At 40.0% G+C, this 19,222-nt stretch overlaps 1 protein-coding gene across 2 annotated transcripts in view, besides 5 other annotated features; it reads left to right on the top strand.

The window, feature by feature from the left end:
- Positions 1,509–3,673: a promoter, noted in NCBI's record as "-1984 to +191 promoter". NCBI's record gives the evidence for it as "EXISTENCE:reporter gene assay evidence [ECO:0000049][PMID:1464612]".
- Positions 2,915–2,924: a transcriptional cis regulatory region, noted in NCBI's record as "SRE". NCBI's record gives its function as "contributes to induction by serum" and the evidence as "EXISTENCE:site-directed mutagenesis evidence [ECO:0005528][PMID:19331172]".
- Positions 2,928–3,673: a promoter, noted in NCBI's record as "-550 to +191 promoter". NCBI's record gives the evidence for it as "EXISTENCE:reporter gene assay evidence [ECO:0000049][PMID:1464612]".
- Positions 3,083–3,141: a protein binding site, noted in NCBI's record as "PAX3/FKHR probe". NCBI's record gives the evidence for it as "EXISTENCE:protein binding evidence [ECO:0000024][PMID:24348888]".
- Positions 3,368–3,387: a protein binding site, noted in NCBI's record as "HBS". NCBI's record gives its function as "positive regulation of promoter activity" and the evidence as "EXISTENCE:protein binding evidence [ECO:0000024][PMID:15757903]".
- Positions 3,467–19,222, top strand: part of PTN (pleiotrophin) — a 116,393-nt gene continuing 100,637 nt past the window's right edge. For both annotated transcript variants that reach the window (NM_001321387.3, NM_002825.7), the window contains exon 1: positions 3,467–3,761. The gene's annotated coding sequence lies outside the window, so the exon portion shown is untranslated. The remainder of the gene's footprint in view (positions 3,762–19,222) is intronic.

Below are 19,222 nucleotides of genomic sequence, written 5' to 3'. Positions count from 1 at the left end.
ACTTGGGGCAAGGTCAGACCTCAGAGTCTTTGCCTTTGTTGATGCCTTTGCCTACAGGCTCTTCCCCCAAATATTTACTTGGCCAGCATCCTCAATTCTTTTAAGTCTTCTGTCAAATATCATCCCAAGGAGACTTTTCTCCCCCACATTGACACTTTATCTTCCATCATTGCCTTATTTTTTTCATGTTACTTATCACATCTATTAAAGAATTTTAATTGACTAATTAAGAACAACAACATAGGGCCGGACGCGGTGGCTCACGCCTGTAATCCCAGCAGTTTGCGAGGCTGAGGTGGGTGGATCACCTGAGGTCGGGAGTTCGAGACCAGCCAAACCAACATGGAGAAACCCCATCTCTACTAAAAATACAAAATTAGCCAGGTGTGGTGGTGCATGCCTGTAATCCCAGCTACTCAGGAGGCTGTAGCAGGAAAATTGCTTGAACCTGGGTGAGCCGAGATCACGCCATTGCACTCCAGCCTGGGCAACAAGAGTGAAACTCCATCTCAGAAGAAAGAAAGAACAACAACATAGGCTATCTGAGAGTAGGGACTGTCAACAGTTTTTCTTCATAGCTCTATCAAGCTAAAGACTTAAGTGCTTAAAGAATATTAGCCTAATGAATGAAATAACTTGGACTCTGGAATCAACAGACCCCTGACTATGCCGTAGGATGAAGTTCGGATTTGAAACTGAGTATTTCACTGTGTATTAAAAAACATTCTACTTCAACTTTGATGAAAATGCTGGATTGAATTAAATTATGACTAATCTCAATCTCATAAATTTCTATTTATTAAAAAAAAAACTCTCTTTAATCCGTCTTTGCATTTTTAAAATACCATGGTGAATAACATTAGGTTTTCTTAACCTCAGCCCTGTTAACATTTTGGGCCAAATAATTCTTTGTTGTGGAGGTGTCAGAGGTGGTTAAACCAGAGCGACTCCATCTTGAATAGGTGCTGGGTAAAATAAGGCTGAGACCTACTGGGCTTCATTCCCAGGAAGTTAGGCATTCTAAGTCACAGGATGAGATAGGAGATTGCCACAAGATACAGGTCATAAGGAACTTGCTGATAAAACAGCTTGTTGTAAAGAAGGCGTCCAAAACCCACCAAAACAAAGATGGCCACGAGAGTGATCTCTGGTCGTCCTCACTGCTCATTACATGCTAATTATAACACATTAGCATGCCAAAAGTCACTCCTACCAGCACAGGACAGTTTACAAATGCCATGGCAGTGTCAGGAAGTTACCATATATGGTCTAAAAAGGGGAAGAACCCTCAGTTCCGGGAGCTGCCAACCCCTTTCCAGGAAAATTCATGAATAACCTACCCCTTGTTTAGCATACAATCAGGAAATGACCAAACAGATGGACAGCCAGAAGCCACTGGGGCTGCTTTGCCTATGGAGTAGCTAGCTATTCTTTATTCCTTTACCTCTCTAATTAACTTGCTTTCACTTTACTCTATGAACTTGCCCTGAATTCTTTCTTGCAACTGAGATCCAAGAACCCTCTCTTGGGGTCTGGACCGGGACCGCTTTCTGGTAACAAAGGCTGTCCTATGCATTGTATGATGTTTTACAGCATCCCCGGCTTCTACCCACTAGATCCAGAGCAACCCCTTCCACCAAGTTGCGACAACCAAGACTACCTCCAGACATTATTCCCTTTTCCTGGAGGGCAAAACTGCTCCCAATTGATAATCACTGATGTATACAATTTTAGTATATACCCATCTGAATAAAGGGTGATATTTTTGGTGTAACATATGTAATTGAGTAGAAATCATGGGAATCTCATGCTTACTTTATCAGCCCTATAGAGAACACCTCAATCAAGCCAGCATTGTTCACCTAACTGGTAGCTAGCTGTATGTTACATTTGTATATGTTAACATAAAGCTGAAGAACAGAAAGAAAATGGATAGCTCTTTGTTCAATGCCTTAGAAACTTTGCCCCTATGGAGTGTTAATAGAATGCTGAGATATCTTTTTTGGTAAAGGGACTGGGAAAAATGCCAAAAAAAAATGCTAATGTGCGTTTCTCCACACTTTATACAGGTGAAATCTGATTAAAACAAGCACTGCTTGCTTCACACAGAAGTGGAATCACAAAAGGAAAACAGGTAACCTGAAGCCTGTGTGTAGGAGAAAGGAACACAGCTTCCTTATTTAGTTATTTCATTTGAGAATTGTATGTGGTATGTATATGAAGAGTTTGGGAAGGGGGATAAATTGTAGGTGTGTAAGTGCATCTCTGATGCCTTTCCTTTTGAAAAGCTTGATTGACTGCTTGATTGAGTTTGTAGAGCCACGTCTGGCTCCAGTCAACTTCTCCAAGGGACATTTCTACAGGTAGCTGTCAATAGAAGAGCCCCAAGTCCCTAAAAACTACTTGCCACAAGACAATGCTTCTAATTTGGGGATTTAAGGATAGTTCTAAGTAAACAAATTGCTTAATAAATATTTGTCAAATTGAAATGAAGGGATGTAACCTCAGAATTATGAAAAATGTGGTCTATTTTACAACCAATTTGGGAAGGACGCCATCAAATGATAAGCTGACCAGTAAAGGTAAAAGTAGGTAAAAGGAGCTAGCCACGGAGCAGGAAAAGCTGATAAGTGGCAGAAAATCTCGAAATTTACATTTCGAAAATGTTTGGGTGAATTTGTATAATACATCTTAATCCTTTTACACAATACTTTTATCTCATCTTTATCATAAATATTTACCTATGCATTGCCTTAGCGTCTTTCCTGTATTGAATGAAATGACAATTCCAGAGACGCAAAGCCCAGCCTCCAAGTTTTACAAACCTCAGAGTTTGAGCTACTTTGACGAATCCTCTAAATTCTTGGGTGTCAAAGGCATGTTACTAAATAGGTTGCTAAAGGCACCAAGGAAACCAAAAAAGGAAAGAGCTCTCCCTAAAGGTAAGTAGCACTTAATTGGGAACTTTGAGACGTCTGTCACTCTTTGTGACAATTGAGAAAAAGTACTTTGTACATTTTGTGCTTTGCAGGTGAGATGTGACTGACACCTTACTGTCTCTGTGTTTAGAGAGGGCTTTCGTGGGTGGAAGAAGAGGCTGGTTTGAAGAGAGTGCTTTTCCATTCTGAATATCATTAAAGGATTGTGGGGGGCCAAAAATGTAACCTAAAATGCCATCAATTGTCCATTTAAAATATCCTATTTGGCAAAGTGGCTTTGCACTCATCTGAAGAATAGATCATGGGTGGAGTTTGGAAAAGAAATGTTGTGTTTCGTCTCTGCTAAAAACAAAACAAGGTACCATCTCATGGCCTCTTGGTTCAAATCCGTTTTCTTGCTCCGCAGGGAGAGACTGCCCCTGGAGTATTCTGCTTTTAATAAGCTTCCCAATCAGCTCTCGAGTGCAAAGCGCTCTCCCTCCCTCGCCCAGCCTTCGTCCTCCTGGCCCGCTCCTCTCATCCCTCCCATTCTCCATTTCCCTTCCGTTCCCTCCCTGTCAGGGCGTAATTGAGTCAAAGGCAGGATCAGGTTCCCCGCCTTCCAGTCCAAAAATCCCGCCAAGAGAGCCCCAGAGCAGAGGAAAATCCAAAGTGGAGAGAGGGGAAGAAAGAGACCAGTGAGTCATCCGTCCAGAAGGCGGGGAGAGCAGCAGCGGCCCAAGCAGGAGCTGCAGCGAGCCGGGTACCTGGACTCAGCGGTAGCAACCTCGCCCCTTGCAACAAAGGCAGACTGAGCGCCAGAGAGGACGTTTCCAACTCAAAGTAAGTGAGAGGAACGTACGATTTCTCGGAGGGCTCTTCGATCGAGTTTGCCTTCACCCTGTGCCACTTTTCTGGGTGCCAGCAGATGATGGTGGTAGGGGTGAGAGAGGCTGCCTGGTGTCTTTGCTGATAGGACTGCTTTCAAAACTGACTTGCTCCAGAGGCCAAGGGAGGCATATTTTTGGGGTTTCAGGTTAGGTTAGTTCGGGTGTGCTTAGGTAAGTGAAAGGAAAGAAGTTTTTGTGATGTTAAGCATGTATTTGGACCGTGTTCCAGCTACCAGCTGGAGAGCAAGACAGGGTGGGCTGGAGAGTGCATCTTTGCTTTTTGTAAAACCTGGAGCTTTAGTAGGTGTGTCTCTGGCTGGGTAGGTGCAAAGAAAGTAAGGCAGCCTGAACAAGCAGCTCTCATTTTCCCAGCCTCTCTCTGATTCTCTGATTGCCCCAGAGCCTGTCAGCCCATGACTCTTAGCTGGCATTTCTAGGTAAGCTGTGGGGGCTTGTTCCTCCCAGTGCTAGCTGACATGAAACGTCTCTCACGGAACTACTGGCACCCGTCTTCCCACCTGACAGCCCAGGAATGGTTCCAGAAATGGTTAGGTCCAAAGTTTAGAAGACACACCTGGAGTCCCATCTCTCATTTGAATGCAAATTTAAAGAACTGCCCAGTACATAGACCCTTAAACTTTTAATTTGACCCACATAAATTTAGGATATATTTGTTACTAATTTACTAGATATTTAGAGTTTCTGAGTTGTTGTTTCTAATAAGTTAAGAAAACATTTTTTGAGAGGAATGTATTCAACTCCTTTCTTAATAGATGGAAAGTGAAACCTCCTCTCTCCTCTCCATACACACACACCCCTTTCTCCATGACATAATGTGACACAACACACACACACACACACACAGGAACACACACATGCAGTTTATATACACTCTAGTGTTAACTCACCCTTGTGTCTGTTAAGAGCTGCTTTGTAAGTTTGGGGACACATTCAGAAAATAGGAGGGGTAGGGGTGCTAAGAGGAGAAAATATTAAAGCTGCGGTCCTTGAGCATCTCTCATTTTAAGAGTTATCAGGCATTTTGCTTTAGCAGCTTGAGAAAGGGGTGATGTGTGTGTGTGCGTGTGCATGTGCGTGTGTGTGTGCTAGAGAGAGGGGTCTGGGAGGAGATTTAGAAATCACCAAAAAGAGCTCTGGACTAATAACATAATGAAACATTTTATGATCCTAGGCAAATGTGGAATTGATGAAACAGCAGGGCCCATTTTAGCCCCTTAATTATCCGGGAATGCATTGATATGTAGAAATATTGAAAGTTAATGACAATGAAACAAAAGAGAAGTCTCCCAACACAGAAAATAAAGCTGTATTTTCCATCTTCATTATGTTTCCTTTTAAGTAAATTATGCACTTTAAAGGCCAAGTCGTTTAAAAAATATAGTCCAGTTAAATTCAGAGGAAATTAGAATGAATATTTTTTTCTTCCTTTGGGACATGAGTTATTTCAGACTGGCAATATTTGTACTTTTTCATTTAAATTAGAAGATGAGATTTTAAAAAATTATATTATTTAAAAAAAACTCTAATGCCATCCTTTTGTGCTTTAAGAAACTTGGGCCTTAAGTTCTCTAATTGTACTTTAAATAAATAGAAGGTGATCTTTTTTCTGCCACTGCTCACTGGTTCCCTTTAGGACATCTTTTTCTGCATTTAGTGAAAAGCCACTATAAGGAACTCCCACCTGAAGCCACATATAACAGCATTAGGTGCTGTGTTCCAGCTGTTTGCTTCTGGATGCAAATGCATTATGTTCTCAAAGCTAGAGCTTGAGATAAATAAAAGTACTATTAGATACATGACTTTTTAATTATCTGACTTTAAATGAGATATTATAGATAATTAGAGTAATAAGGTATACCTAACTATATTTATAGTCTAATGTATTATATGTATTATATATAATTCTCTGTTTTTTTAGACCCCTTTCCATGAGATCATGAGATTTGGTTTAATAAACGTATTAATTTATTGATATTTTCCATATGCCTTATTTGGGCTTCACATATAGCAACACATAACAAGATCTACATTTCTTTTTAATGAGCATTTTCATTTTTTAAAAAAATTTCAGTCAAGCCAATGGCCTGGTTTAAAATTTCATAAAAGCCTAGTTGTTGAAAACAACAGAGAGAAATAAGATCCCCAGATAGTTGAATCACTTTTTTTAGTAAAATCAATCTTAGATATCAAATATTTTAACTTTAAATATTTTATTTTTCCTTTGAAGATATTTTTGCTTTCTCACTTACATGGCATTCTCACATGAATTCTGACCATATTCCTATTTGTCATGTGGTGTTTTTAATTACTATTCAAAAATTTCCCACAAAATCGAGTTTACCCGGCTCGTTGAAAATGGTGTGATAAATTAACAATAGATTGAGGGCCTGAAGTCAGAATTCAGAATACAAATTCCAGTTCTCTAAAGAATTATGCTTTTTAATATGGCGGCATAATGATATGGGGAGTTGTTCTTGACTTCTCTCAGGAAGGAGGTGTCCAGACTGAGACCACCCAATGTGATGAGTGCAAACATCCTCCACACCTGAGTGCACCTCAGCCCAGTTTGAGATGTGCTTTTCTCTGGAGCATGAGGCTGAGTGGGAGCTCTCCAATGGCCTTTGTTCCATAGCTTTGCTAGTGATGTTGAGTTGGGCTTCTCCATAAGGGTGAGGAATGTTTTTAGCTCTGGCTTCTGTTCTAAATGAATAGTCGAAGAGTTTTTGCCTCCTTCTGGCACAAGGTCATGTCACTGCTGTGGGAGGCGAAGTAAGATGATACTCAGATATGAACCTTCTTTTTATGAGCTGGGCTTGCTTTTTTCCATCCAGAGTCAATTGGCTTAAGTGGAATTTGGGCCATGGCCTCGTGGAAAGTTGTTTTTCCTTCTGATGTTTATGGACAATTCAAGTTTCCACCCACTGGGCTATTTTTCCATCCACTTCAAGCCAGTCTAGTGTGCGGCATAGTTTTCATGGTGTCATTACAATATTTCTAGATTGTAAAATATAACAAACCTCTTTTTCTTTCTATTTTGGCATTTAGTAAATAAGAAATTAAAACAGTATCTTAAAAGGGTAGCTATGATGGAACACTATCAGAGGGTATTATAAATATGGGAATATTGTGGACTTAATTATGTAGATCACATTCACCACAAATCTCTATTTCTTCAGGGTGGACAAGGAATACAATGACTCCTTCATGTTTGAGATATTTTTAGGGATAAAATTTAATTCATTTTTCTAGGCTTTATTTATTGAACCATTTTTTCAGAGTGGGTTGAGATAAAGTGATATCTCAAACAGAAAAAAATCATATCCAGTTTTCTAAAAATAGAAGTCTTAGATTTTTTTCAACTTCACACATAGTGTAACAAAAAATCAAGCGCTGTATATTAATCTTGAAAAAAGTGACTCATAGTAACTGATAATTGGGCTCTTAATTCTAAGAATTGCTCTTAGCAAAAGCTAAAACATAATTTTAAAACACAAATAGCATTCTGTCTCTAACCCTTTGCTCCCTTTTCTTCCTGCTTTTACATTTACCTATTTCTCCTTCTTTTCTCTCATTTCTCCATTAATTTGGTTGCCACTATTTCCCACCCAACAGGTCCCAGAACGTCTTGCCCAATTCCCTCTTGCTATGATGGCATACATTTCTCTATGTACGGATGTACCAGGAATGCCTGCCCATATGTTGGCATTCTTGGAAGCTTGGACCTTCCTAGCTGATGTTTTCAACACCAGTGCCCTCTCTACTGATTCAATGGCATTTTTCCCCCATTTTTTTTTTTTTTTTTGATTCAAGACCCTGCCTAAGGGTCAGGCAACATTTTCATCACTGCAATGTTGACCTCATTCTCTTCTCAGTTTCCCAACATCAATGTAGAGGCGCAGCTGGAGTTACTCATGTCCATCACATCGTCTCGGGGTCCTACTCCAACAATACAATTTTTCTTGCTCCTGTGGCCAGCCAATTTAACAATATTTATTGTACGTATGTTGGATGCCTAATACTACATTGTGCTGGACAATGTAGCATGTTTAAGAAATAGAACATGGTGTCTATCTCTATGGTTTCACAATATCTAATACTTTGTGTTTGGTACGTGGTGTGAACTTGTGAAATTCTTTATTAGAAATGTATTTAAAGGAGATCTCAATTAAAATCCATTATACCCTCACCCATCTCTGGAAAAGATGCTTTAAAAGTCACAGATTGCTAATCCCAACATTTTATGATTATCTCATACTGTAACCTCCTTGATATGTTATTGTCTTAATGTTTTCCTAATTTCTTTGGGCACTCCTTTTTTCATGTTTTGTTTTGCTTTTTTTTTTCTTGTCTTCCAAATGTGTACATTTATTTCCAAATATTTCAGTTTCCCGCCTTCCTCTCTCCTCTCCAAATGCTTTAGTATTGTCACAACTCTTCTTTGAGCTTTAACTCCTTCACAAGGAAAATTCTCAGATCTGAAGAGAATTGAAGGAAGATTCTCTCTAATGAGCTCTGGACTCACATTTTTAATATTTTTTCAATGAATACTGAAGGAAATCATTCAGGCACAATTCTATTTGGAGGAGGAGATTGAAGTAAAGGACTTCCTGTTATTTTATTTTTATCCCTACCAGACTTTTACGCATAGTGACTGACATACTATATGGTAGGTAGTGTGATGAGGGAAACAGGACAAATAAATATGTCTTCAAGCAGCTAATGATCTACTCAATATATATGTAAGAACATTAAAACACTAATTACTACAACACAGGTTAGAGGAAGATATGTACAATTGTTGCCCTAAGCAGTTCCAATGACAAAGGGATCACATTTTTATGAGAAAAAGGAAAGTGGAGCTCACAAAAGGCTAAATGGTACGCAACGTCTATTTCAAAAGCATTATGTCTGTTTGTTCCTTTAATGCTGTTTATTCTGGAAGGGAAATTGAACTCCTGATTCCTTCGTGTTTTCATTTCACATTTGCCACATAACGTAGCAGAAACAAATTATTGGAAGTGACAACTTAAGAATTCAGACTGAGTTTATTTAGAATCAATATAATTTTTAAGACATGGCACTCCCTGTAGATGTCCTTTTCAGGAAAATTTATACCAGAAGAGAAGAGTGTCCTTTAATGAAAACATATACATGAAGGGAAAGAAGGCAAATCCTTGTACTTCAGCTGTGGAATTTGGGTGAAATCTTGAGTCGGAAATTGAAGGCACCAAAGGTTTTCCAAGGCAAATGCCCCCTCTAGGTGGAGCTATATTTCTTCCCTTGTCTTCGAAGTCTCCCCATCACCCCTTATAGTGACTTCAGCTCCTCCTTTCTCACCATTTGACACCAGCCCCACCCCATCCAACCTGTGCACCCTATTAAGGCAAGGGCTGTCTCTCATTCTCTCAAGAACCCTAGCATATTTAGCATAGAACCATTGAAGATGGCAAATGAGTGAGAAAATAGGCAGCTCTAAATGCCATTCATTCTCTTTGCCCATGTTGTTCCACCCACCTTGACCATCTGTGTTCTATGCCTAATCCCCTTGCCTTACCAAACAACCTGGTGCCAATTTCCTGTTTAAGCCCAAGCATTCCCATTCTCAACTTTGAACCTCCAGAAACTTCTCCCACTCTCTTTCCTTCACTCCCTTCATTACAAATGTCATATAGGCTTGCTGGTTCTCTACAGTGTCTTCCTAATCATATTTCACCTTGATAATTTTAAACTTTTCATAGTTGCCGATTCAAGACTACCTCCAGAATGGAGAAAACCTTACTTACCTCTTCTTTAACAAACCATATTATTCAAAGTGACAAAGCTAGTAATTTGAAGCATTATTTTCATTATAACTTCTATGTAGCTATAAGGCCTGTTTTTAAAAATGTTTCACATTTATTTTTTCATCATATTTTTGTAACTCTACTCAGGTAGATTGAGTGGGATTTTTAAAAAATTGATACAGAAATGCAGGCTTAGAGAAGTTAAGGGGGCCATATTCAATGACATACAGATATGAAAACAAAAGTCTTAAAATTCCTAGTTTGAGTTTATTCCTCTGTAATATAATGCCATCTCTTTCTTAGGCTAATAAATAGATTTTATCTCCCATTTGTCTCTCATGTCAAACCCCAAATCCAATGTATGTACAGTTAGAGGTCAAATAACCTACAGCAGCAGTTCCCTGTCTTCAATGTTTATCAGATTAACTAGCGTCATGTGTAGGTTCCAGCTGCCTGGAGCCCATCTTCAGCAGTTCTGATTTAAGAGGTGGAATCAAGGACCCTGGACATACGACAGGGCATGTGGATACGGATGAAACATTAGAAACAGTAGCCTTAATCGCTCAATATTTGAGCTCCAAGGTCCAAAATACTGAGGTATAAACCACTGCACTTCTTAGTAGCTCTGTGACCGTGAGCAAATATTGTGGTCTTTCTTACTTCAGTGTTTTCATCTCTAACATGGGAGCACATACCTACCTTCCAGGATTGACGTCTGAGTAGTAATTGAGAAAATCAATGTGAAGTACTGAACATAGAGTCTGATTGCTGGGAGTGTTTGAGCAGGATGGTGAAAATGATGATCATGGTGAAGCAGCACCAGATGCAAGTCCTCACTTCTTCCCCCTCCTGAATTGCTTTTCTTTCTCATGCCCACTTGGCATCTGCAACAAACATACAAGCAAAATCCTAGGTGGAATTCCATGCTTCTTGAAAGGCCTCGCCCCTCCACATGCTCATACCATTTTCTTCCTTCTCTCTAAATGCAGATTGAAAATCCTTTCTTCTGGAAGAAAACATACGGAGCATGTGATCATGCTCAAGGCCTGGGGGTTGGGCAGGCAAAGTCTCCGATGCAGACTCTTTGACCTTATCCCTTCCCATAAGGTATAGGAGAGCATTTTGCATACAGAAGACTCCCAATCCAAGAGACAGGCACTTTATTGCTGACCTTAGTGATGCTCATAACCACATTCTCTCTGACCCCTGCTGATAGAGGCTTCAGTCCAGGGAAGGAGTTAAGGTTTGGAGTCAGGAACCAGCATCTCACCACAGTCCGCCTGTTGTTTGGTATGGGCTGCTGGATGTGCCACTGAATCTTCTGAAATCTTAGGTTTTTTAGCTCTAAGTGGGAAATGATGATGATGTTACTTGTTTTGCCAACCTCATAGGTTGGTGGTAAATGTCAATGGTCACGACGCAACATCTGTAAGCTCTAAACTGTTATACTGAACATGAACTGAACTTAATAAAGTCAGTGGGGCAAGTTCTGCCTTTCTGGTTTCCCAATCCTGCTATTGTCATTGTCATTTTCTCAGGACACACAGAGATTGCCTAAGTTGCTTGAAGGTAAGTTTGACTCACAAAGTGAGGAGGAGGTAAGATGTGCGACAGGAATGAAGAAAAAGAAATGAGTCATACTAAAAAAAAAAAAAAAAAGCGAGAAGACATCTTAAATGAGGCTGAACTGAAACAGGCATGCTTTCTTTTACCTCAGATTATGTTATATTTCCTTCTGAAGTGTCTTAAAAGCTACATGTCACATTTTTTAATTGGTTATTCTCACTAAATATAAGCCTTAGTAATTGGCTAACAGCAGTTCATTTACATGATAGCTGGATAACTGTGCTTCTCAAACTTTCATGTTCATACCAGTCACCCAGGGTCTTTGCCAAAATTCAGTAGGTCTCCAATGAAATCTCAGAGTCTGCTTTTCTGCCAAGCTCCCAGGTGACTGCAGTACTGCTAGCTTGGCGACCTCTCTTTGAGTAGCAAGCCACAACAGTTTAATTCAACAAACTTGAGGGAACAGGAGACAAATCAGAATGCTCCAGTCATGATGTCCATAGCTTAATAAAAATGATGAGGATCATTGTCAATATGTTATATGCAAAAGCTTCTAAAACTTACATCTTTGTGACCAAATAATATTTACAATGTATGATTATTTATGAAAGAAAATTGCAGACACCACCTGATTTGCTATTGACTTCACTGAAGTTCCCTTAAGTGTAAAAAGCCCCTGGCCAGATGTTGCACTTGGGCCTCCTTACCAGTGCTTCTGCTGGGGTCTTTCTCGGAGAGGGTGTAAGTGATCCAAATGTTGCCTTCTTCATTTGCTTTAAAAGCTAATGAAAAGTGTTTAGAAAACTTCATTCTTTTTTTTTTATTATTATTATACTTTAAGTTTTAGGGTACATGTGCACAATGTGCAGGTTAGTTGCATATGTATACATGTGCCATGCTGGTGTGCTGCACCCATCAACTCGTCATTTAGCATTAGGTATATCTCCTAATGCCATCCCTCCCCCCTCCCCCCACCCCACAACAGTCCCCAGAGTGTGATGTTCCCCTTCCTGTGTCCATGTGTTCCCATTGTTCAATTCTCACCTATGAGTGAGAACATGTAGTGTTTGGTTTTTTGTCCTTGCGATAGTTTACTGAGAATGATGATTTCCAATTTCATCCATGTCCCTACAAAGGACATGAACTCATCATTTTTTATGGCTGCATAGTATTCCATGGTATATATTTGCCACATTTTCTTAATCCAGTCTATCATTGTTGGACATTTGGATTGGTTCCAAGTCTTTGCTATTGTGAATAGTGCCGCGATAAACATACATGTGCATGTGTCTTTATAGCAGCATGATTTATAGTCCTTTGGGTATATACCCAGTAATGGGATGGCTGGGTCAAATGGTATTTCTAGTTCTAGATCCCTGAGGAATCGCCACACTGACTTCCACAATGGTTGAACTAGTTTACAGTCCCATCAACAGTGTAAAAGTGTTCCTATTTCTCCACATCCTCTCCAGCACCTGTTGTTTCCTGACTTTTTAATGATTGCCATTCTAACTGGTGTGAGATGGTATCTCATTGTGGTTTTGATTTGCATTTCTCTGATGGCCAGTGATGGTGAGCATTTTTTCATGTGTTTTTTGGCTGCATAAATGTCTTCTTTTGAGAAGTGTCTGTTCATGTCCTTCGCCCACTTTTTGATGGGGTTGTTTGTTATTTTCTTGTAAATTTGTTTGAGTTCATTGTAGATTCTGGATATTAGCCCTTTGTCAGATGAGTAGGTTGTGAAAATTTTCTCCCATTTTGTGGGTTGCCTGTTCACTCTGATGGTAGTTTCTTTTGCTGTGCAGAAGCTCTTTAGTTTAATTAGATCCCATTTGTCAATTTTGTCTTTTGTTGCCATTGCTTTTGGTGTTTTAGACATGAAGTCCTTGCCCATGCCTATGTCCTGAATGGTATTGCCTAAGTTTTCTTCTAGGGTTTTTATGGTTTTAGGTCTAGCGTTTAAGTCTTTAATCCGTCTTGAATTAATTTTTGTATGAGGTGTAAGGAAGGGATCCAGTTTCAGCTTTCTACATATGGCTAGCCAGTTTTCCCAGCACCATTTATTAAATAGGGAATCCTTTCCCCATTGCTTGTTTTTCTCAGGTTTGTCAAAGATCAGATAGTTATAGATATGTGGTGTTATTTCTGAGGGCTCTGTTCTGTTCCGTTGATCTATATCTCTGTTTTGGTACCAGTACCATGCTGTTTTGGTTACTGTAGGCTTGTAGTATAGTTTGAAGTCAGGTAGCGTGATGCCTCCAGCTTTGTTCTTTTGGCTTAGAATTGACTTGGCGATGCAGGCTCTTTTTTGGTTCCATATGAACTTTAAAGTAGTTTTTTCCAATTCTGTGAAGAAAGTCATTCTTAATATGAAAAAGATATATGTAATATATTTACTTAGTGTTAAGAGTCTTCCCTTCTTTCACATTTTAACGTCTATAACTGCATTAGACTCTTTCCTTCCATACCATAATGGAACTAGACCAGGAATCATCCATCTTTGTGACTTCCTTGAAGACGGTGGGGCTGCCCAGAGAAACAGCCAGGGCTTTTTGCTTCAGAGTCCAGATTTAATTAATAAGGAACATATTGTGGTAACAGTCTTAGGTAACACAGAAAATCTTCACTCAGGCTAGAACAAATAGAAGCTATCTTAGTCTGTTTTGTGTTGCTATAAAGGAATACCTGAGGCTGGGTTCTGTGTAAAGAAAAAAGTTTATTTGGCTCATGATTCTGCTGGCTGAAAGTTTCCAGATTGGGCATCTAGTGAAGGCCTCAGATGGCATCCACTCATGGTGGAAGGTGAAAGGGAGCAGGCATCACACAGAAAGAGAGGAAGCAAGAAAGACAGGAAGGTACCAGACTCTTTTTAACAATCAGCTCCTGGGGGAACTAAGAGTGGGAACTCACTTACCCACCCTCCCAAAACCCACCAGGGAGGGCATTAATCTACTCATGAGGGAATCTACTCCCATGACCCAAACTCTTCCCATCTGGCACCACCTCCAACACTGGGAAATCAAATTTCAACATAAGGTTTGGTGGGGACAAACATCCAAACTATAGCAGAAACCATGTAAAACTTTAGAACAGTGTTTTCATAATGGCTTTCTTATTTGATGTGAATATGGCTTTTTTCAAGACCTAGCCGTGGGGTCATTGTGCCCAGTAGCAGAATTATCTCTGAGGTTTTAACATATGGTGGCCTTAATTTGTGAGCTTATGAACATCAGATTGTTGGCTTAAAAAACATACTTTGGTCTTGAAAGAACTGGATTTCAAGGGTCAAGTCAGCTCCTCAAAAAATATTTATTACAAAAAAAATTGCCCTCTCTGTGCAATGTATTTCTTTAGATATGTTCCAGGGAATTCAAATGAGCCAGCCAGAAGCTGCTAGAGGAGAGAAAACAGGTAGGTTATTAGATTATTTTTAACCGGTGTCTATGCTTAAATCTTGAAACAATAAAATAAAGCCTTTCTTCCCATTATTTTTTCTTATTTACAATATACATTTCATTATTGAATAATGTTTCTGGGAATATGCAGAATCTCAAATATAGCTCAACGCAGGTCAAATGTGTGAAAAGTTTGATTAATTTTAACCATGTGAAAAATAATGAAATATTTTTTTTTCCATTATGATGTTTCTTATTAGGAAAACACAAATATACCTGAAGAAACACATTATTTTTCCCATTCTAGAAAAATACATGTTCGTGGTACAAGATATTCAAATTTTATAGAAAAGAAAACTTACTTACAATTCTTGAAATAGGCACCACTGTTAGCACCCTGATATACCTTTACGGTTTTTCTGATGTAACTTTTAAAAATAGTTAGATGCGTAATTGGGTGTCCTGCTTTTTAACAGTGTTACTGATGCATGCAATATGTTTTAACAGCTATGCACATATTAACATATGCACTTGATTCTACCAAATGAGCCAATTAAGATGGAAATTCAATTTATTTAGCTCGGTATGGGTAAATTAGAATCATAAAAAATGCTAAGTAAATTAATGTTATGAATGCTCATAAAAGAGCCAGCACTGGGAAAATGCAAGCAAACAAACATCTCATAAAGCAAACAAACAAATAAAAGTCTTTGTCCTTGCAGATGTGCTGTTTAGATGGGAACAAATAATCCTGGAGAACTCAGTGTGTGCCAGTTAAAGGTCAAGCTGAGTACACAAGGTCTTTCTTTCTTGCCCTAAAGGACCCTTCCATATATCTAAGGGTAAAAGTCTCCCCAGGGAAGACACAGCTGCCTGGTCCCACCCAGGTTGGATCTAACCCCTTAGCTCCTCTCAAGAGCCTGAGAAGCTTTGGAGTTGCTGTGAGGCCCAAGGGAGTGGGCCTGATGCACTGCAGGTGGGTAAACTGCAAGATCAGCAAACCTCTTTGATGCGTGTCGCTCCAGGGCTTGGCATCCTTCAGGGAGTTATTTGCTCTGTTATTATTTGGAATGACGAGTGAACAACTGGCTCGAGTTTAAAGTGAGTCAGATCAAATTTGGGTTTGACCACCACATTCCCGATCGCAGAGGAGGAGTGAAAGTCAAATGCGTTTAGTATCTGTGCCAGTATTGGGATTCCCACCAACTTTGGCCTGAAGTGATTTTTAGCCTTTTTAAATTGCGGCTTTAGTCTGATGGTTAGGGAATTACAGTTTGCCTTCTGATACGTGATATCTGGGGATTTGAAGATGTACTTCAAGGCTGTAATAAATGAATTTGATTTGGAGAAGCAGATTAGAAGCAGTTCAGCAGGAATAAGGGGGTAGATGTGGATTTCTACCAATTTCTCTCTAAACAGACAGATCCACATTTCCTAAAAGCAGGCTCTGTGGGTTTCTAATGTCTCATCCAGTGACATTCTTTCACAAGATGTTAAATGGAAGCCCTTTATGTCAAAGGCAGCAAGACCAATAAGACAAAAGAAACAGCATTGGACTTGAACTGAGGCTTTAGAGAAAACATCCAAGAATCCCATAGATAGAAGCCCCATTCCTGGACAGAGGAACTTCAGACCTCACATAAAATTCTATTAGATAGCATTGAGGCTTCTGCCACTAAAAAGGAAGTATTGAGCATGCCATAGGGTCCTTATGGCCCATCTGGCTGTCATGGTGTATCCTAAGGAGATTCCTCTAGGGTGGATTTGCCTTCTTTGTTTTCCACATCTCCTCGGCTCCAGGTGCCTCTTGCCATAAAAGTCCCATGAAATCACTCCAGCTCTGTGGAGCAAACCTGGTCCTCTTCTTGTTTTTCTCAGAGGGAGTGTTTCAAGACAAAGCAATATCTGCTGTTCTAGTGAAGAGTTCCTTCCCAAAACAGGGCCTGAGGAATCTTGGGTGCAGAACCTGGAGTTGGACAATCTGGTCCCTGAAGCCAACTCTTCCATAAACCTTTCTACCGTCTAACGCATTGTTTTCATTCATGTCCTCCCCACCTTTAGTGGTGGATCATAAAAGCAGGAGACTAAAGTGTGCTTTTTGTGGGCTGGAGCACACCAGGGTTCCTTCAGCCAGGGCTTTGCTGCACATGTGCCTTCTAGATTTGGGGGCTGGCTTTCTGCCTTGATTGCTATTTGCTGTAATGTGTGATGTTCAACATTCTGTTTCAGTTCAGAAAAAAGTTTAGGTTGGGTATGTCTCTTCTTCTTCTTCTCCTTCTCCTTCTCCTCCTCCTCCTCTTCCTCCTTCTCTTTCTCCTTCTCCATCTTCTTCATTTTTTTTGAGACAGGGTCTTGCTGTGTTGCCCAGGCTGGAGTGCAGTGGCACGATTTCAGCTCACTGCAACCTCCACCTCCTGAGTTCAACATTTCTCTTGCCTCAGTCTCCCAAGCAGCTGGGATTACAGGCCCATGTTACCACACCTAGCTAATTTTTGTATTTTTAGTAAAGACGGGGTTTCACCATGTTGGCCAGGCTGATCTTGAACTCCTGACCTCAGGTGATCCACCCACCTCAGCCTCCCAAAGTGCTGGGATTACAGGTGTGAGCCACTGCACCCGACCAACTGGCATTATTTTCATGTGGAGGTTTCCATAAGAAGCTACTTGAATTGCTAATCTTGCATTACTGTCTTTTATACTTAAAGGAAGTCACTATATTAATTTTGAGTTTCACTGGCTATGTTTCTTGTTGCTGAACCTCATTGTTCCTACGATTGTGTCTAGGTCTTTCACTTTACCACTTCCTGAATATGCATTGAGTATGGATATTCCTGAAAATGATGGAGTACCCACTATATGCCAGTTGCAGATAGTACTCAATCCATGCTTATTGTTGCATAGAATTGGAGTAACATTTTACTACTTTCTATTCCTCTCTTGTCCCATGTCTGGACCTTCAGAAACTCTGGCAAGAATTAATATTAACTGGCTGCCCTAGTGCAAAATTGTGACATGAGTAATCATTTTCTTTGGCATCTCCTGCTTTTTTCTTCTGCTCTGTCCTTTGTACTTAGATGATGGTTCCCTCATCAGTGCTCAGGTACCTGGAGCCAAGCTCCTGCTGTTGTCTGAAGCCATACCTTGTCCTCTACCTTCACCCTGGACAGTGGCGTCCCTAACTTCCCTTGCTGTGTTTTGAGGACCCATGGCAATAAGTCAAAATCAAGACCTGCCAGCACCTCTAAAACGTTGCTCCTAGGAACTACCAAGAGCAAGGAGACTTGCTCCCTTATCACCAACTAGTTCTAGAAGCTGAAGGCCTTGCTTTCTGTTCTTATTATTTCTCATCATTTAAAATTTCTGAGCACAATTCACCAGCATTAATAATACTGTCATAATAGCTGATACTTATTGAGTGCTTTCTATACAGTGGACAGTTCAATACTAGAACTTTACATTCAGTGCTGGGTTAAATGCTCCCAACAGCCCTATGGGGTAAAGACTATTTTTCTTCCTAAATGAGGGAAATGTATCTCAGAAGTAACTTGTCCAAGATCAAAAGCTAGTAAAAAATAGAACTGAGGGTGTAGTCCAAATATTTCTAACCACAAAATTCTTAAACGTCATACTCTTCTACCTCCATTCCCCTATTCAATGTCAAGGGTCCAGTGAGTATTTGAAGATATTCTGGTTCATGATTCCTTTCTTCCCTCTAGCCAGTATCCAGGAATATTTCTTCATATTATGTCACTTATTTCTACCTCCTTATGATCAAGAGATTACCGTGTCTTGGATAAGGAATGTTGCTGTTAGATTACCCTCCTTGATTGCATATGATTGCCCATTGTTTAATTCCCATTGTTTTCTCAAACACCAGTTGGCCTGGCATGGTGTTTCAACATGCCTGCGCTGAGGAAAGGGACCGCTGGGAGTACAAGCAGGAGGGTGTCTAGGAGCTGCTCAATCTGTTTCTCCAGCCTGCCATCACCTGACTAAATTGTTTGTTGGATTGCTGTGTTCTATCCCTTGGGGAGGCCACAGTGCCGGGTTTGTTTGTGTTGAGAGTCTCTGGCTTTGATTAGCAGCTAGCTCCAGTGCAGCTGAACATACAATAGGGACCAAAGGATGGGAAAAAAATCCTGCTACAGTTTCCCATTGGAAAGCATTCACTGTCAAGCTTGGACATCCAACAGTGGGACACAGATGAACAGAGGCTGGGAAAGGTTAGGTGATGGATTCTCCATGCCCTGCAGCCTGTTGTGAGTGATAGGTCATTCCTTTACATGAGCCTTGAGCCTCTATTTCTCTAAAATGTCTTTTATGATTCAGGTTTGAGACTGGTATTGATGTAGTTTGACAAGAGGCAAAACCTAGAAAGCTGCAAAGCATGAAGGAACCCCAGGATTACAAGAGCTAGGGTAAAAGCAGTGATCTATCTTAAAGGGCTAGTCACACAGTAAAAATTTTTAAAAGGGTCTTTAATCTGGCAGCATGGAAGAAGTTAAAATAACTGTAACTGTAATTCTACAGCTGAAACAGGGAAGTAAGACATTTTTATTTTATAATATAGTTAGTGATTTCCTTACCAAACTGATAATATAATTTTTATTTCTTCTCACTGAATTAAATATTAAATCTACTGCAAGTAC

Source organism: Homo sapiens, chromosome 7 (genome assembly GCF_000001405.40).
Source record: "Homo sapiens chromosome 7, GRCh38.p14 Primary Assembly".
Lineage (NCBI taxonomy): Eukaryota > Metazoa > Chordata > Mammalia > Primates > Hominidae > Homo > Homo sapiens.
The sequence above is the reverse complement of the archived record's forward strand: the minus strand, read 5'-3'. Positions and strand labels throughout refer to the sequence as shown.